Source organism: Homo sapiens, chromosome 10, assembly GCF_000001405.40.
Source record: "Homo sapiens chromosome 10, GRCh38.p14 Primary Assembly".
Lineage (NCBI taxonomy): Eukaryota > Metazoa > Chordata > Mammalia > Primates > Hominidae > Homo > Homo sapiens.
In genome coordinates, this window is record NC_000010.11 from 32,898,700 (window position 1) to 32,918,447 (window position 19,748).

At 37.3% G+C, this 19,748-nt stretch overlaps 1 protein-coding gene and 1 non-coding gene across 4 annotated transcripts in view; both read right to left on the bottom strand.

The window, feature by feature from the left end:
- ITGB1 (integrin subunit beta 1) overlaps positions 1,619 to 19,748 on the bottom strand; it is a 57,913-nt gene continuing 39,783 nt past the window's right edge. For 2 of the 3 annotated variants that reach the window (NM_002211.4, NM_133376.3), the window contains exons 12-16: positions 13,187 to 13,425; positions 12,749 to 12,971; positions 11,524 to 11,756; positions 9,669 to 9,835; positions 1,619 to 2,936 (exon numbers count right to left, since the gene is read on the bottom strand). In NM_002211.4, coding sequence (NP_002202.2) covers positions 2,871 to 2,936; positions 9,669 to 9,835; positions 11,524 to 11,756; positions 12,749 to 12,971; positions 13,187 to 13,425 — 928 coding nt within the window. In that variant the 3' untranslated portion in view covers positions 1,619 to 2,870. Of the gene's footprint in view, positions 2,937 to 8,363; positions 8,445 to 9,668; positions 9,836 to 11,523; positions 11,757 to 12,748; positions 12,972 to 13,186; positions 13,426 to 19,748 lie in introns of all 3 variants that reach the window. The other variant, NM_033668.2, reaches the window with a different exon arrangement.
- SNORA86 (small nucleolar RNA, H/ACA box 86) lies at positions 2,635 to 2,773 on the bottom strand. The gene has a single exon (NR_132768.1). It is a non-coding gene; the product is annotated as a small nucleolar RNA, H/ACA box 86 (small nucleolar RNA).

A 19,748-nucleotide genomic window follows, 5' to 3' on the forward strand; every position in this document is an offset into this window, starting at 1 on the left:
ACCTGCACATGTACCCCTGGAATCTACAAAAATGAACATTTAAAAATGTAAACATTAAGCCTCCAAGGAATAAACTAAAGACAAATGGCCTCTACTCAAGGTTATCTCTCAAACTGTAGTGAAAAACAGAAAGGAAAAATTCCAGGTTCAAACAAAAAGCTGATCACAGGTGACTTTTTAAGTGGTATTATGAACTGTTCTTGTGGCTCAAGGTCTTACCTGGGTGCCTGTTTTAAGGAAATTCATAAAGTAAGACTGGAAAAGAGTAAGAAAACTTTTAAAATGTCATGGAATCACTGTAAAATATGCCACTATTTGGCATTAGCCAAACAATGTACTCATGATACTTAATATTTTGTAAATTTCTATAGTATAGTTTAAATGGAAAAAAAAGTTCTAATTGTTGTTTTGCTTCCTGGACTCTTGCTTTTTGGAAAGTGTCTCACTGGAGATCAAAATGTACTCCTGCTGGGAGAATAAGTATTTTAGTGACCAAGTTCTATGTGGCTTCAGTCAAAGCATCTCAATGTGTGGTGTGTGTATCTACATAGAGATAGATATACTATTATCAATTTCTCAGACTATATTTTGAAATTGCCAGTTTCAAGCCTAGAATTACTCAAATGTCAAATTGAGTCTTCCGATTTAAGTATTTTAGGCTCTTATAATCAGCATGAGAAATAAACTTGTATACAATTCCTCCAACTTCCAACAAAGGGATTCCTATAGAAAATCTTTTTGTCTGCTATAAATTGTAATATAAAATCTAAAAATTCACCACATTCCAGCCTCAAACACGTGTTTGGAAAAAAAAATTATGTACATATAGAAGATAGACTTTGTTACTTTGTTCTAATATATTTTTAAAATATCATTATAAGAGCAGAGTTCTGGAGCAGAAATATGCAATTCAACTATTGATTATGCCTAAGGCACAGGGAAATGAATTAAGCTAAGTGGAATTATGGATGGTGGAAAACAAGATGAAACAGGGTGACAGAGAGTAATAAATACAGATAATTTTTTTCATGGATCTTACAAACTACTAAAAATGTGTAATTCTCACCTCAAATATGCTTTAGTCTAAGCTATGAAACACATTTAAATGGAGTAAGTAAAAGAAGATTAACAGGATGTGAAGGGATTGTATAAATGTGAAAGGCTAGTAAGGCTGAAACTTTTTCTCCTCCAAATATTTCTGACATTTGTTGTATGCTTAAGAAAGCAGCATATATTTCTTCTAATAAGCTTTACACAAGTAGTACTTATGGATATATCCTTTCAAACAGAAACCAAAGCCAAATAAAAGTAAAATTTTTCCTAATTTTTCTTATCAGAAAAGTTAACAATCCCCTATCTATATCTTAAATAAAATGATACAATTTCCAGCACCTACTAATGGCTCTAAGATGTTCATAAAGTTAATTCTGCTTAATATTGGGATGAAACCTCTCTCCCAGCGTAGCAGGATAAGTAAGGATCTATCCACCATGATTCAGAGAGCCCAAGGACAGTCTTCAAGTCTGTATTTCACCATACCACTCTCCTTATGTCCCTAGTACATTTTTTTAAAGAATTATGTTTTAGCTTCATAAGTGAACTACCCACCAACCAGAAATGCTTTTCCTCAACTTCTTTAATCTATAAAAATTTCATGCACACAACCTGATAAAATACATCAGAGTCAAGACATCCGATTTAAGTATTTTAGGCATATTTAATAAATAACTTCAGTAAATAGCACTGTAAAAAGTGAACTGTTAAAACTAAAGGCACTTAAAACAAGAATGTGACTAGTGTGAAACAAGATGGGCAACTCAAATGGTGAGAAGTAAACATACAGTGGTCTGTTATGGCACTAACTCAAAGTAAGACTCGCGTAGGTGAGAGCTGTTGCATAGCCACAGTATAACTTCACATGTTCATTAAAAAGGCAAATTGACCGCTAAAACTTCAAAGAAAAAGTACTCATAAAAAAAGTCTTACCCCAAAATTGCAAACAAATACATTAAAAGATTAGAAGAGGTGACAGAAAGCACCAGACATTAAACAAAATAAAAATAATAAAATAAATTCAACTCAAAAGGTCCCCATTCAGCAAATACTTTGTAAAGTATGGCCTGTATGTAAATAGTGCTAAATCAAGGACTTTTTAGCAGAAAATTGCTCGGTTCTTTTATCTAAGGCTTGAATTTGTAAAGTGAAGGCATAAAAGTTACCAAACATTAAGTAACTCTTAAAATGGCACACAGGTTTTAAAGCTATTGGTTTTTCCTTCCTAACTCTCTGAATTTTTCCCATGGCCTTTGTAGATCAACTATTTCAAACGTATTTTACACCAGCAACTCTCAACATACTTGTCTTTCAGATATGTCATCAGTCATGTCTAACAGGCAAATAGCAAAATAACAGATTTAAAACAATCCTTAACTAGCTAGCAGGACATTTACTTTGGATTCTGCATAACTGCAAACTGACATATTTGTAAAGCTAAAAATCAGTTTTAATACATGATTAACAGAAACTCTCATCATGCTCATTACTTTAACTATTGCCCTTTCAATCGCTATAGAAATATCACTTAATCCAATAAGCTTGATTTCAATAGTCCAGGAAGAAAAGGTCAAAAAGGCACAATGTGACCTTAGCTGACAAGAGTAACCATCCTGTCTCAAGTCTTTTGTCAGTCCCTGGCATGAATTACAACATTATTTTCAAAATAATAAAACATTTTAAAAATTATACATATTGTACATTTTCAAAACCTGCACATGAGTAAAACCATGGCAATATTGCCCTAAAGCTACCTAACTGTGACTATGGAAATTGCTACTTTGCATTCAGTGTTGTGGGATTTGCACGGGCAGTACTCATTTTCCCTCATACTTCGGATTGACCACAGTTGTTACGGCACTCTTATAAATAGGATTTTCACCCTACAACAAAAAAAAAGTGAGAAAAATTATCAGTTACCCTACTAAAATTATGTAGAATAATTTTTATAAATCAAGACTAAAAGTTGCAATCATCTTAAGAAGTCATTTCTATTTTATTTGTCCAGATATCACAGTTGTTTTAAAGGCATTAATAATGGTTTATATAAAAATAGAAAATGGAAGCTTTGCTTTACAAGTCTAATGATGCCCCGTTATCTGGTGCTATTTCATTCTTGAGTCCTTCCTCCACTGGAGGCTTGATTTAAGAATGTTCTCCATGGCACAGAATGTGCTGTCATCGTGGATTCTCTCCTCTGAACTAGTTTGCAATGCCTGCCTTAATGAAGCATGAACTCCGCTGCCATCACTGCCTGATTCTTATCCCTTTATCGTGAACAGAAGGCGCCTGCTAATCAAAACGGGAATCCTCGGCTTTCACTGCTGGGAGGGAGGTGTGCTTCTGGGGTCTCCTACGGAAGTTACTAATTTAGAGAGTAAGGCTGTCATTGTGTCAGGGACAGCACTGCGCCCCACCAAGTCACACTGCCAAATTTGCTTAGAATGTTAGATAATTACCATTCCTTATGAAATAACTTGTTATGCTTCAATATCATATTGGTGAAATGTCTTATTGCAGTGCTATAATTTAGTAAACAGTACTGAAGTCAAGCCTAGCAAGCAGGCCCCAAGCCATAAACACAAGAGATCTTTCAAGATCCAAAAATATACTGACAGTGATGTTTTAAGCAGAAAAAAACATATCACTGTATCACCCTTTTCCTTAAAAATTCTCTTATACTATAACTGCTACATTTAAATACTTGCTATAGCATTCTTTTTTCTCCTGTTCTTATAAATTGAAAGCAGGCTTGAAAGCCAAGTGAGAAGTGTGACCAAATAACACTTAATCAGAGAAAATTACAGTGAGTACAAATAAAAAATACTTGTTAACTACCAGGGAAATTTTTTTTAAGAAAAAATTAAGATTTTGGAATGTTGTTCAGTTTTATATCTCACTATAGAACCAACTGCAGGTGATTTTTAAAAAAATATTTATAGAAAGCATCTAAAACATTTTTTGATCTAAAAGTAATTTTTGTTTTTAAATTTTATTCACACTTCATTGCAGACTGTATTTGGATCTGCCTTTTGGTGGCACAATTTCTGCCCTCAAGGAAGGTATAGTTTGGTGGGTGAGAGACATGAAAATAAGGCACTCTGATGAAGTTTACAATAGAGTTATGAACATAATCTGGGAATAGTATAAGAAAAAAGTTATTAACTTTAAGAAGATTAAGGAGATTTTCATTGTGAAATTGACTAGAAAAATTATTGGTTGGTAAATAGCAATCTATGCAAAGTCAAGGTGTAGGGAAAAGAATGGGACATTTAAGTAGAAATACATACAGTTCAGAAGTTTCTAGAGTTAGGGGAGGGCAGGCGCGGTGGCTCATGCCTGTAATCCCAGAACTTTGAGAGGCCGAGGTGGGTGGATCACTTTTGGTGAGGAGTTTGAGATCAGCCTGGCCAACACGGTAAAACCCCGTCTCTACTAAAAATACAAAAATTAGCTGGGTGTGGTGGCGGGTGCCTGTAATCCCAGCTACTCATGAAGCTGGGATAGGGGAATCACTTGAACCCGGGAAGCGGAGATTGTAGTGAGCTGAGATCGCACCACTGCACTCCAGACTGGGCGAAAGAGCAAGACTCCATCTCAAAAAAAAAAAAAAAAAAAAAAGAGGAAAAAAAAGAATTAAGGGGGCATATGATTGGAGGTGAGGAGACAAAGGAAGAACAGTCCTAGAGGCCTTGCTATGAAGTCTGAAACTTCATCCTGTAGGTATCCCATACCAATGAGGGAAAAACATTAACATATAAAGGCTGGGTCCTGCAAGACACCAAATAAACCACTGTGATTTCAGCTCAGCAGCTCATGTGATACCAATCAGAACCAGACAACATACCTCAGCCCTCACTCCCCTCTCCTCAAAATACACCTTGACTGGTTGTTTCAGAAACATGGACAAACTCAGGATCCCTCAGAGACAAACAGCATATAATGTGGATGACAAAACTGTGTACATCAAACTCTCAGCTCTAGTCCCAACTGAAGCTAATACATTATACAGCTGTGAGAGCAGACATTTCAAAATGGGGGTCAGGAAACTGGATTTTGGCAACTACTATCTTAAAAAGCCAGAGTGCAAATAAATTACACTCCACATTTATATCCTATCTGATTTGAGGCTAAGTGCTACACATTCCTTCAAATATGTTGGGAAAATAAATTAGCATCTAATTAAATTTCTTTAATACAATATATTTGCTAAATCTAGTATTTAATACTCAAGAATTATAAGGGAAGGACAAAAAAAAAAAAGAAAACAAAAAATAAAGAAAAAAAGCCCTATATAGATGAGTCCAAAGTGTAATTTATATGGAAGAACTTACCTTTGGAGAAAAATCTGTCTTGTCGTATACACAAACATTTGTATTTATTATTTCAAAGTCCACTCAAACAAAAGTTTAACATGCAAGGTTAGAGGTAAAATTAAGCTCACTATCTGTATTAGGCATCATTTTAAATGAAGGTAAACTAAAATAATTCAAATTAGTTTCCATCATTCAGAGTGCAACACCACCCCACCCCAAAAAAACCCGCAGCAAGAGAACAGGGTTATATTATGAAAGGAAGCCCTCAAGCTCAGTAAAATGTCATCTTTGTGCTCACTCTGGAATGGCTGACAGTGGTAGCTGCAGAACCATCTCTACAATGTATTAAATACATAATGCAGAAGTGTGGGAGATTTGGGAGCCACATTTAAACCCGCATAGCAGCAGATGAGGACAGACCATTTTTTTAACCCACTCCAACAGTTAGAAGCTGATAATGTGACATGTTCTTCTTAATGTTCCTACATGGTAGTCTTCTGCCAAAGTAATTAGCGCCTGCCCATTATTTCAAAAATTTCAATGACATAATTGACTGGCAAACCTTGGTCCATATCAGAAAAGTTTCTTACAATCCATGATGTAATTTCTTGATGCTCATTCATTTATTTCAATTGTTAATTTCTACTTTTTCTTGAGAAAAACATCTCTTAAAATAATCTGTAGCCATCAAATTGCCTGGACTTCAATAATGCATAGAGAAATTTTTACCAAACTTCTGCTTCCTGAATTACATAAAATGCTTATTTTAGCAACATTTTAGCCATATATACATTATAAACATTAAGTTTAAATAACATTTACTGATAATTTCCTTCAAAATACAATGAAAGGTACAGCAAGGGTGAAAATTTCACCTCAGTAGGACAGAAATTTTTTCTCTTGTGAGAAATAACCACATGAAATTGTCAACATTTGACTATTTTTGACCTACAACTAAAGAAAAAAATATGTATTAAAAAAAAAAAAAAGCCTGGCAATGTCATTGGCTAATCAGTTTTCCTCTAAAAATGACTTTCTGTAAAGTACTAAGTGAGAACGAGAAAAATATATTGTCTCAGACTAATACAAATATGTACCAACCTGCCCATATGTGAATTTGAATATAATTTTCTGCCATCAAATTTAACTTTAAAAATCTTACGGTCTACTTAGAAATAAAAATCTGACAAGTTAATGATTTCTAATGTTATCAGCACTTCCTATATCACTTGTAACTATTAAACATTCCTGTACTGTAGGCTCTTATTCATGATCAGTTTGTAAGCACACTCTCAATAGTCAAAAAACACAACAACAGCACTGGGTTCCATGTATTAAAGTGATTTCCCTAACATGATGTTTGCCAACAGCAGCAGTGTTAACTCTGACAGAGTAACAACAAATTGTAAAAGGGCTGTAAATCTCTATAAAGAGTGATCTACCTCTTCCTAACCAGGTAACGGGACTTCTGAAGATACATAACTGCTACCAAGTACAATGTCATAGACAAGAACATGGACTCTGGAGCCCAACTGCCTGGGTTCAAATCTCAGCTCTCTGACTAACCAGCCGTGGGAACTCGGTCAAGTTACATAACCCTTATGTGTCTCAGTTTTCTCATATGTAAAACATTCCTACAACTTTCACTATGAAGATTAAACACAGATTAAGTGGTCAGAATCATGCCTGAGACACAGTGATTTTTATGTAAGTGTTCCCAATACCATCTTTATCTGCACAATAAGGTAGGCAGTGAGAAAAGCAGAAATCTTCCAGGCCCTATTACAGTCAGTCAGTTGGGAAAGAGAAGAAGAGTTCTCAACCACCAGTCAGGAGAATTTAGTTCTAATCACAATTAACCTTTGTTATCAGAGTTTTAGGGGCTTGCATGATTTTATTAGAATATGCTGGAAGCATTTCATGAAAATTCAGATATGAACAGTTACAAACTTACATTTGAAAATTAGAATCATTCTCACATACACACACAGACACACACACATATATATATAATATACATACATATATATGGTCTTCTGGCTTTTAATGAAATTTCAAGTTATATTCAAGAAATTGATCTCAAATCTTTTGAGAACCAATAATGATATTGTAGTTGCATACCATACAAATATCATAGTAGGTTATATTTTTCTATTTTGCAATTTGGATTTCGTGATCAATTTTCACTATCCAACCCTAAAATTTACTCATAACAAATTTGTTATTTAAGGATAATACTGGTGGGGCACAGTGGCTCACGCCTGTAATCCCAGCACTTTGGGAGACCGAGGTGGGCAGAGCACTGGAGGTCAGGAGTTCAAGGCCAGCCCAGCCAATGTGGTGAAACCCCATCTCTACTAAAAACAAAAAAATTAGCCTAGCATGGTGGCAGGCACCTGTAATCCCAGGTACTCGGGAGGCTGAGGCAGGAGAATTGCTGGAATCTGGAAGTCAGAGGTTGCAGTGAGCTGATATCACACCACTGCACTCCAGGCTGGGCGACAGAGAGAGACTGTCTCAAAATAAATAAATAAATAAACAGAAAAAGAACAAAAGATAATAGGATAATATCATTCTAGGCACAGGACTGTTATGAGGATTAGAGCTGACAGGCTGATTTCATATACTGGAGTGCATTTGCCAAATACAACCACCCCATACAAAACAGAGTACTGACTCCCTGTGACAGTTGAGAGAAGTGAAGTGACTCAATGCTGTTCTACTTACTAAGTGGAAGAGGTGGGATTTGACCTGAGGTCTAACTGATTGCAAAGCACATTCTCTTTTCACTACAACATGGCTGCTGTTTCTATATCACATTACTTATTTTACGGTCTTTCTAAACGCGAAGTTAACATACAAAAAGAAAAGCCACAATAGCGATATTTAAAGCCAGACTTAAAAAAAGAACAGCAATAGTGATAAAGGACACACAGTGCAGTAAAAAAGATAGAAGTTCACATGCAAAGGCAGAAAGTGAAACAAAATACGAACGGCAATTTAGAGACCAGCTTTACGTCCGTAGTTTGGATTCTTGAAATTATTAATAGGACTCTTGTAAATCGGATTTTCTTGCTAAAGTAAAAGAAATAGTTTCTAATGATTTCATCAGAAAAAAAAAATCCCTTTATAGTGTTTGAACACTATAAATGTCTTTTTTTTTATTTCTACCCTTCTGAAATTTGTAATTTAAAAAATTGATAATTTTTAAAAACCCAAGCAAATTGTAGTAAAGTGCAACTAACTACAAAATTCATTTACAATTTAAAAATACTGAAGATTGGCATTGCTTTCTTGTATCAAAAGATGAATACACAAAGGCCAACATTTGGTTACCCCACCCTCTGACTCCATATTTCAAAGCACTCAATGCTAACATAACCTTTCGGTCACTTAGGGCTTTTAAGATTTTTATAAGCCAAAGTTTACTGAGATATAATTTTCATAGAGGAACATACATCTTTTTAAAGTACATAGTTCTGTGAGTTTTCAAATACATAAATCCACCCACAATCAAGATCATCCCAAGGAAGATCCCTTACGCCCCTCTGTGGTCAACACTTTCCCCCATTCCAGCCCCTAGCAACCACTGATTTTTGCCCCTACAGTTTTGCTTTTCCAGAATGTCCTCTAAATGGAATCATATAGTATATAGCAGGGGTGTCCAATCTTTTGGCTTCCCTGGGCCACACTGGAAGAAGAAGAATTGTCTTGGGCCACACATAAAATACACTAACGATAGCTGATGAGCTTTAAAAAAAAGTTACCAAAAAAAAATAATAATAATAATTACAATTTCTAAGAAAGTTTACAAATTTGTGTTGGGGCCACATTCAAAGCTATTCTGGGCTGCATGTCCTGGCCGACGAGCTGCGAGTTGGACAAGCTTGGTATATAACCTTTTGAATCTGGCTTTCACTGAAGGTTTTTTTTGTTTGTTTGTTTTAAAGAAAGAAGCAGCTTTCCATTGAATAGCTTGCTACACAGATAACATTATTTAGGATTCTACTTCACATTAGATGAAAAGGCAGATTTAGGATCAAAACTATTAAAGAAATAAAAATACTGGCCACAGTAACCAGAATATACATGCTTATAATCAATGTTTTGTTTCAATGGGATATATTTAGGATGCTTTCTGTTTTTCACTAAATGCAAATTCCTTGAGTAAGAAACTTTTGGGGGAATAAAATACTTAGAAAGGACTTTAATAATCAGCCTGACAGCTAATACATAAGTCTTAGGAGTATTACATTTACTTTATAAGCCACTTTGCTTTTTGGATGTTTTGTAACTTACCGTGTCCCATTTGGCATTCATTTTCTCCTTTTCAAATTTAGCAAACTCCCTTCTGTCATGAATTATCATTAAAAGCTTCCATATCAGCAGTAATGCAAGGCCAATAAGAACAATTCCAGCAACCACACCAGCTACAATTGGAATGATGTCTGGACCAGTGGGACACTCTGGAAAATAAGAAGGTAATAATGAGCACCACAAAGAGCTGTGCAGTGTCTTATAAAAAACATACAGGAATAAACACCCAAGAGAGTGAACGCACACTATCCCAAAGAATCTATAAAATAGCTCTTAGAACTAACAAGTGAGTTTACAAGGTTGCAGGATACATGATCAATGAACAAAAATCATGTATTTTTCTATATATATAATTTATTTCTACATATTGAAAATATAAGTTTTTAAACAGTAATATTTACTACAGAATGAAAAAGCATGAAAAACTTACATATAAGTCTAACAAAATATATGCAAGATTTGCATGTTAAGAATTACTAAATACTGATAAAAAGAAATCTTTCAGACTGAATAAATGGAGAGATATTCCATGTGCAGGAGTTACAAAACCTAATACCGTTAAGACGTCAATTCTTCCCAATTTGATCTATAAACTCAATGGTATCCCACTCAAACTCCTGGCAGAACTTCTGTAGCAATCAGTAAGCCACTTCTAAAATTTACATGGAAGGCAGGGAACTAAGGAAGTGTCTCAAAAACACTTTTGTAAAAGAATAAAGTTGGAAGACCCTGCTTTCAGGCCTAGCTATAAAGAAAGCTACAAGACCATGTGGTATAGCTAACACTCAGATACATGGAACAGAATACAGAGTCAGAAACAGGCCTACACATGTAAGGTCACCTGATGTTCAACAAAGGTGGAGAAAAGACAGTCTTTTTTCAACAAATGCCCCTAGAACAAGTGGACACTGACATGAAAAAAACTGAGCCTTTTGTCACACACTAACTCAAAATGAGTTACAGATCTAAATGTGAAACCCCAGAAACTATAAAACTTCTACCAAAAAACAGAGGAGAAAAATCCTTATAATCTTGGGTTAGGCAGAGTTCTTAAAGACAATGTAAAAGCAAGAGCCACAGAAGAAAAACTTGGTAAACTGTACTTAATCAAAATTAAAACCTGTGGTGTTCAGAAGACACTTAAAAAAATGAAATGATAAGGAGACACAGGCTGGGAGACAATATTTGCAAAACACCTAGCTGATAATTCAAAACAGTATGGGAGTCTAAGAGTCTGGCAGCTTCTTAACAAAGTTAAACATATGCTTACCATATGCTCCAAAATGCCATTTTTAGTATTTACCCAAGAGAAATGAAAGCTTATGTTCACACAAAAACATGTACACTATGGTAGAAAATTCCAAAGAATCTACAAAAAGGCTACTAGGAAAACTAAGATTAAAAAAAAAAAGTTTCACCTCCGGAGAAGTTGAACAAATTCAACACTTTATATTAATATCCTTTAACAAATTATCTTTCCCAGTATTCAAGCTTAAATCAAGCTCTAATTTTAAAATCATCAATCATCAAAAAACTCTTAATATGCACTTGGTGTCAGGCATCGTTCTAAGTGTCTTATATAAATCACTAAGCGTCTTATATAAATCACTGTATTTAATCTTCAAACTCTCCACTCAGAAAACTTAAAAGTGGAACTCTCTTTTCCTTATTTCTTATACAGTTAATTAGATAATATTTTAAGCTTTGAGAGATGAAAAATTTCCCAACTTGACCTAAAATATTCCAGCTGGAGGCTGTTTCTGGATGTTAGGCCTAAATAAGCAGAAACAAGACATACAAGATATGAAAAGAATGTCTGCAATCATCGCATTTCTACCTGGATTCTCCACAACATGAACCATGACCTCGTTGTTCCCATTCACTGAATACGTAAAATAGAACCAACAGTCGTCAACATCCTTCTCCTTACAATGGGACACAGGATCAGGTTGGACCGGCTGGGGTAATTTGTCCCGACTTTCTACCTTGGTAATGTTAAAATAGGAACATTCCTGTGTGCATGTGTCTTTCTTTTCTCCTTTATTGAAGGCTCTGCACTGAACACATTCTCTGTTACAAAAAACACAAATTATGATATTTACATTTTATTATTTCAGTAAATATTTGCTTAAACATATTTCCCATGCTAAACTCTTGTGACCAAATTGAACAAACAGCTATGAAGGAAGATTTCAATAAATGAAGAGGAACATTACATTTGTGGATAGAAAAATTATGTAAAAAGATGCTAATTTCCATAATAAAATTAAAGATTTATTACAGTTCAAATTAAAACCCTATTAAGAAATAAAAGATAGTAAAATAAATTAGCCCTATCACATATTAAATATGTAACATAAAATCATAATAATTTTTTTTTTGCGATGGAGTCTTGTTCTGTCATCCAGGCAGTGCAGTGGTGTGACCTTGGCTCACTGTAACCTCTGCCTCTCGGGTTCAAGCAAGCCTCAACCTCCCAAGTAGTTGAGATTACAGGCACACACCACCATATCTGGCTAATTTTTGTATTTTTAGTAGAGATGGGGTTTCACCACATTGGCCAGACTGGTCTCAAACTCCTGACCTTAAGTGATCCACCTGTCTCGGCCTTCCAAAGTGCTGGGATTACAGGTGTGAGCCACTGTGCTCGGCCAAAATCATAATAATTTAAATAATATGTTACTAGTATAATAATCCTTCAAGAGGAAAAATCTTTAATTTGGCTTAGTTTTGTCAAAAGACAGTAATTAAGAAATTGGTAATGACAAATTAAATTAAATTAAATCTTAATTGCCAAAATAAAGGTTACCATGTAAATTCAATTATCTAGCACATTCAGATCAAAATAATAGTACAACTCTCACATGACACACTTCATACCATGTAATATATACTAGCTGTTGAGAAAGAACTTTTAAGAATTAAAGAGTAGGCTTCCACATGGCAGGCATTTTATTTACAGTATATTTTAATATTGGCACTGTTCTGGTTCTAGAAACAATACAGGCTTAGGAGAGCCAAGAGGAAGTATCAACTATTTCAAGCAATTAGGAAATACTTACTTATGCTCAGCACAGACACCAAGGCAGGTCTGACACATCTCACACGTTTGCCCTTGAAACTTCGGATCTGTACACTTACAGACACCACACTCGCAGATGCCCCGGCCATTGCAGATCTGTCCGTTGCTGGCTTCACAAGTACTAGTATCCAAAGAACAGTCACATGCACTGCCAGTGTAGTTGGGGTTGCACTCACACACACGACACTTGCAAACACCATTTCCTGCAATTAAGCATATCATTTCTCAAAATGGTAAAAATATACAATCACAGTATTGACTGAAAAGTAAAATAAGCAACAACATGTGAGAAAGTATACCTAGGGGCGAGACTGACCCTCAAGCTACCCCTTTTCTACTTATGCACCAACTAAACTCAAGATTTTTCGTGGCATTAGATGGGATCACATCTTACAACCACTTCAGGCCCTTTACTTACCTCCACAAATTAAGCCATTGGATCTATCACAGTTGAAATTATCACACTCGCAGAATTTGCCAGAATAAATTTCATTTGTATTATCCCTCTTCCTACAAACACACTGTCCGCAGACGCACTCTCCATTGTTACTGCAGATTTCTGAACTGTTTTCTTTCCTGCAGTAAGCATCCATGTCTTCACTGTTAACTTCATCTGTGCTGCATTCACAATGTCTACCAACACGCCCTTCATTGCACCTGAAGAAACATGCCAAAATTGCAATCACACAAAACAAAAATAATTTAAGAGGTTCCAAGATGGCCAAACAGGAACAGCTCTAGTCTACAGCTCCCAGCGTGAGCGACACAGAAGACAGGTGGTTTCTGCATTTCCAACTGAGGTACTGGGTTCATCTCACTGGGGCTTGCTGGACAGTAGGTGCAGCCCATGGAGTGTGAGCCGAAGCAGGGCGGGGCATCGCCTCACCCGGGAAGCACAAGGGGTCAAGGAATTCCCTTTCCTAGCCAAGGGAAGCTGTGACAGACGGTACCTGGAAAATCAGGACACTCCCACACTAATACTGCGCTTTTCCAATGCTCTTAGAAAACGGAACACCAGAAGATTATATCCCGCGCCTGGCTCAGAGGGTCCCATGCCCAGCTCAGAGGGTCCCACACCCATGGAGCCTCGCTCACTGCTAGCACAGCAGTCTGAGATTGAACTGCAAGGCAGCAGGGAGGCCGAGGGAGGGGTATCCCCCATTGCTGAGGCTTGAGTAGGTAAACAAAGCAAAAAAAAGCTAAAACTGGGTGAAGCCCATTGCAGCTCAAGGAGGCCTGCCTGCCTCTGTAGACAACACCTCTGGGGGCAGGGCATAGCTGAACAAAATCCAGCAGAAACTTCTGCAGACTTAAACATCCGTGTCTGACAGCTTTGAAGAGAGTAGTGGTTCTCCCAGCACGGAGTCTGACATCTGAGAATGGACAGACTGCCTCCTCAAGTGGGTCCCTGAGCCCGAGTAGCCTAACTGGGAGACACCTCCTAGTAGGGGCTGACTGACACCTCATACAGCCCGGTGCCCCTCTGAGACGAAGCTTCCAGAGGAAGGATCAGGCAGCAACATTTGCCATTCTGCAATATTTGCTGTTCTGCAGCCTCCGCTGGTGATACTCAGGCAAACAGGGTCTGGAGTGGACCTCCAGCAAACTCCCAACAGACCTGCAGCTGAGGGTCCTGACTGTTAGAAGGAAAACTAACAAACAGAAAGGACATCCACACCAAAACCCCATCTGTACATCACCATCATGGAAGACCAAAGGTAGATAAAACCACAAAGATGGGGAGAAACCAGAGCAGAAAAGCTGAAAATTCTAAAATTTGAGCACCTCTTCTCCTCCAAAGAAATGCACCTCCTCACCAGCAACGGAACAAAGCCGGACGGAGAATGACTTTGACAAGTTGAGAGAAGAAGGCTTCAGATAATCGGTAATAACAAACTTGTCCGAGCTAAAGGAGGATATTCAAACCCATCGCAAAGAAGCTAAAAACCTTGAAAAAAGACTAGACGAATGGCTAATTAGAATAAAGAGCGTAGAGAAGACCTTAAATGACCTGATGGAGCGGAAAACCATGGCATGAGAACCATGTGATGCATGCACAAGCTTCAGTAGCCGATTCGATCCAGTGGAAGAAAGGATATCAGTGATTGAAGATCAAATGAATGAAATGAAGTGAGAAGTTTAGAGAAAAAAAAGAGTAAAAAGAAACGAACAAAGCCTCCAAGAAATATGGGACTATGTGAAAAGACCAAATCGATGTCTGATTGGTGTACCAGAAAGTGACAGGGAGAATGGAACCAAGTTGGAAAACATTTTTCAGGATATTATCCAGGAGAACTTCCCCAACCTAGCAAGGCAGGCCAACATTCAAATTCAGGAAATACAGAGAAAGCCACAAAGATACTCCTTGAGAAGAGCAACTCCAAGACACATGATTGTCAGATTCACCAAAGTTGAAATGAAGGAAAAAATGTTAAGGGCAGCCAGAGAGAAAGGTTGGGTTACCCACAAAGGGAAGCCCATCAGACTAGCAGCAGATCTCTCGGCAGAAACTCTACAAGCCAGAAGAGAGTGGGGGCCAATATTTAACATTCTTAAAGAAAAGAATTTTCAACCCAGAATTTCATATTAAGCCAAACTAAGCTTTAAGTGAAAGAGAAATAAAATCCTTTACAGACAAGCAAATGCTGAGAGATTGTGTCACCACCAGGCCTGCCTTACAAGAGCTCCTGAAGGAAGCACTAAACATGGAAAGGAACAACTGGTACCAGCCACTGCAAAAACATGCCAAATTGTAAAGACCATCGATGCTAGGAAGAAACTGCATCAGCTAATGAGCAAAATAACCAGCTAACATCATAATGACAGGATCAAATTCACACATAACAATATTAACCTTAAATGTAAATGGGCAAAATGCTCCAATTAAAAGACACAGACTGGCAAATTGGATAAAGAGTCAAGACCCATCAGTGTGCTGTATTCAGGAGACCCATCTCACGTGCAGAGACAAACACAGGCTCAAAATAAAGGGATGAAGGAAGATCTACCAAGCAAATGGAAAACAAAAAAAGGCAGTGGTTGCAAACCTAGTCTCTGAAAAAACAGACTTTAAACCAACAAAGATCAAAAGGGACAAAGAACGCCATTACATAATGGTAAAGGGATCAATTCAACAGGAAGAGCTGACTATCCTAAATATATATGCACCCAATGCAGGAGCACCCAGATTCATAAAGCAGGTCCTGAGAGACCTAGAAAGAGACTTAGACTCCCACACAATAATAATGGGAGACTTTAACACCACATTGTCAACATTAGACAGACCAACGAGACAGAAAGTTAACAAGGATATCCAGGAACTGAACTCAGCTCTGCACCAAGTGGACCTAATAGACATCTACAGAACTCTCCATCCCAAAACAACAGAATATACATTCTTCTCAGCCCCACACCGCACTTATTGCAAAACTGACTACATAATTGGAAGCAAAGCACTCCTCAGCAAATGTAAAATAACAGAAATTATAACAAACTGTCTCTCAGACCACAGTGCAATCAAGCTAGAACTCAAGATTAAGAAACTCACTCAAAACTGCTCAACTGCATGGAAACTAAATGACCTGCTCCTGAATGACTACTGGATACATAACAAAATGAAGGCAGAAATAAAGATGTTCTTTGAAACCAGTGAGAACAAAGACACAACATACCAGAATCTCTGGGACACATTTAAAGCAGTGTGTAGAGGGAAATTTATAGCACTAAATGCCCACAAGAGAAAGCAGGAAAGATCTAAAATGGACACCCTAACATCACAATTAAAAGAACTAGAGAAGCAAGAGCAAACACATTCAAAAGCTAGCAGAAGGCAAGAAATAACTAAGATCAGAGCAGAACTGAAGGAGATAGAGACATAAAAAGCCCTTCAAAAAATCAATGAATCCAGGAGCTGGTTTTTTGAAATGATCAACAAAATTGACAGACCGCTAGCAAGACTAATAAAGAAGAAAAGAGAAGAATCAAATAGATGCAATAAAAAATGATAAAGGGGATATCACCACCGATCCAACAGAAATACAAACTACCATCAGAGAATACTATAAACACCACTATGCAAATTAACTGGAAAATCTAGAAGAAATGGATAAATTCCTGGACAAATACACCCTCCCAAGACTAAACCAGGAAGAAGTTGAATCACTGAATAGACCAATAACAGGCTCTCAAATGGAGGCAATAATTAATAGCCTACCAACCAAAAAAAGTCCAAGACCAGACGGATTCACAGCCGAATTCTACCAGAGGTACAAACAGAAGCTGGTACCATTCCTTCTGAAACTATTCCAATCAATAGAAAAAGAGGGAATCCTCCCTAACTCACGTTATGAGGCCAGCATCATCCTGATACCAAAGCCTGGCAGAGACACAACAAAGAAAGAGAATTTTAGACCAATATCCCTGATGAACATCGATGCAAAAATCCTCAGTAAAATACTGGCAAACCAAATCCAGCAGCACATCAAAAAGCTTATCCACCACAATCAAGTTGGCTTCATCCCTGGGCAAGACTGGTTCAACACAGGCAATCAATAAACGTAATCCATCATATAAACAGAACCTAAGACAAAAAACACATGATTATCTCAATAAATGCAGAAAAGGTGTTCGACAAAATTCAACAGCCCTTCATGCTAAAAACTCTCAATAAACTAGGTATTGATGGGATGTGTCTCAAAATAATAAGAGCTATTTATGATCAACCCACAGCCAATATCATACTGAATGGGCAAAAACTGGAAGCATTCCCTTTGAAAACTGGCACAAGACAGGGATGCCCTCTCTCACCACTCCTATTCAACACAGTGTTGGAAGTTCTGGCCAGGGCAATCAGGCAGGAGAAAGAAATAACACATAACAATATTCCCACAAAGGGAAGCCCATCAGTTAATTAGGAAAAGAGGAAATCAAATTGTCCCTGTTTGCAGATGACATGATTGTATATTTAGAAAACCCCATCGTCTCAGCCCAAAATCTCCTTAAGCTGATAAGCAACTTCAGCAAAGTCTCAGGATACAAAAATCAATGTGCAAAAATCACAGGCATTCCTGTACACCAATAACAGACAAACAGAGAGCCAAATTATGGGTGAACTCCCATTCATAACTGCTTCAAAGAGAATAAAATACCTAGGAATACAACCTACAAGGGATGTGAAGGACCTCTTCAAGAAGAACTACAAACCACTGCTCAACGAAATAAAAGAGGACTCAAACAAATGGAAGAACATTCCATGCTCATGGATAGGAAGAATCAATATCGTGAAAATGGCCATACTGCCCAAGGTAATTTAGAGATTCAATGCCATCCCCATCAAGCTACCAATGACTTTCTTCATAGAATTGGAAAAAACTACTTTAAAGTTCATATGGAACCAAAAAAGAGCCTGCATTGCCAAGACAATCCTAAGCCAAAAGAACAAAGCTGGAGGCATCACGCTACCTGACTTCAAACTATACTACAAGGCTACAGTAACCAAAACAGCATGGTACTGGTACCAAAACAGAGATATAGACCTATGGAACAGAACAGAGCCCTCAGAAATAATACCACACATCTACAACCATCTGATCTTTGACAAACCTGACAAAAACAAGAAATGGGGAAAGGATTCCCTATTTAATAAATGGTGCTGGGAAAACTGGCTAGCCATATGGAGAAAGCTGAAACTGGATCCCTTCCTTACACCTTATACAAAAATTAATTCAAGATGGATTAAAGACTTAGATGTCAGACCTAAAACCATAAAAACCTCAGAAGAAAATCTAGGCAATACCATTCAGGACATAGGCATAGGCAAGGACTTCATGACTAAAACACCAAAAGCAATGGCAACAAAAGCCAAAATTGACAAATGGGATCTAATTAAACTAAAGAGCTTCTGCACAGCAAAAGAAACTGCCATCAGAGTGAACAGGCAACCTACAGAATGGGACACAATTTTTACAATCTACCCATCTGACAAAGGGCTAATATCCAGAATCTACAAAGAACTCCAACAAATTTACAAGAAAAAATCAAACAACCCCACCAAAAAGTGGGAGAAGGATATGAACAGACACTTCTCAAAAGGAGACATTTATGCAGCCAACAGACACATGAAAAAATGCTCATCATCACTGGCCATCAGAGAAATGCAAATCAAAACCACAATGAGATACCATCTCACACCAGTTAGAATGGCGATCATTAAAAAGTCAGGAAAACAACAGGTGCTGGAGAGGATGTGGAGAAATAGGTACACTTTTACACTGCTGGTGGGACTGTAAACTAGTTCAACCATTGTGGAAGACAGTGTAGCGATTCCTCAAGGATCTAGGACTAGAAATACCATTTGACCCAGCCATCCCATTACTGGGTATATACCCAAAGAATTATAAATCATGCTGCTATAAAGACACGTGCACACGTATGTTTACTGCGGCACTATTCACAATAGCAAAGACTTGGAACCAACCCAAATGTCCATCAATGATAGACTGGATTAAGAAAATGTGGCACATATACAACATGGAATACTATGCAGCCATAAAAAATGATGAGTTCACGTCCTTTGTAGGGACATGGATGAAGCTGGAAACCATCATTCTGAGAAAACTATCGCAAGGACAGAAAACCAAACACTGCACCTTCTCACTCATAGGTGGGAACTGAACAATGAGAACACTTGGACACAGGGTGGGGAACATCACACACTGGGGCCTGTCATAAGGTGGGGGTAGGGGGCAGGGATAGCATTAGGAGATATACCTAATGTAAATGACGAGTTAATGGGTGCAGCACACCAACATGTCACATGTATACATATGGAACAAACCTGCACGTTTTGCACATGTACCCTAGAAATTAAAGTATAATAAAAAAGAAGAAGAATCATCTTGGAGGGAATAATAATAATAATAATTTAAAAGGGAAAAACTGGGAAAGAAAATAAAACTATAAAAAATCTCTTCAAGCTCCTA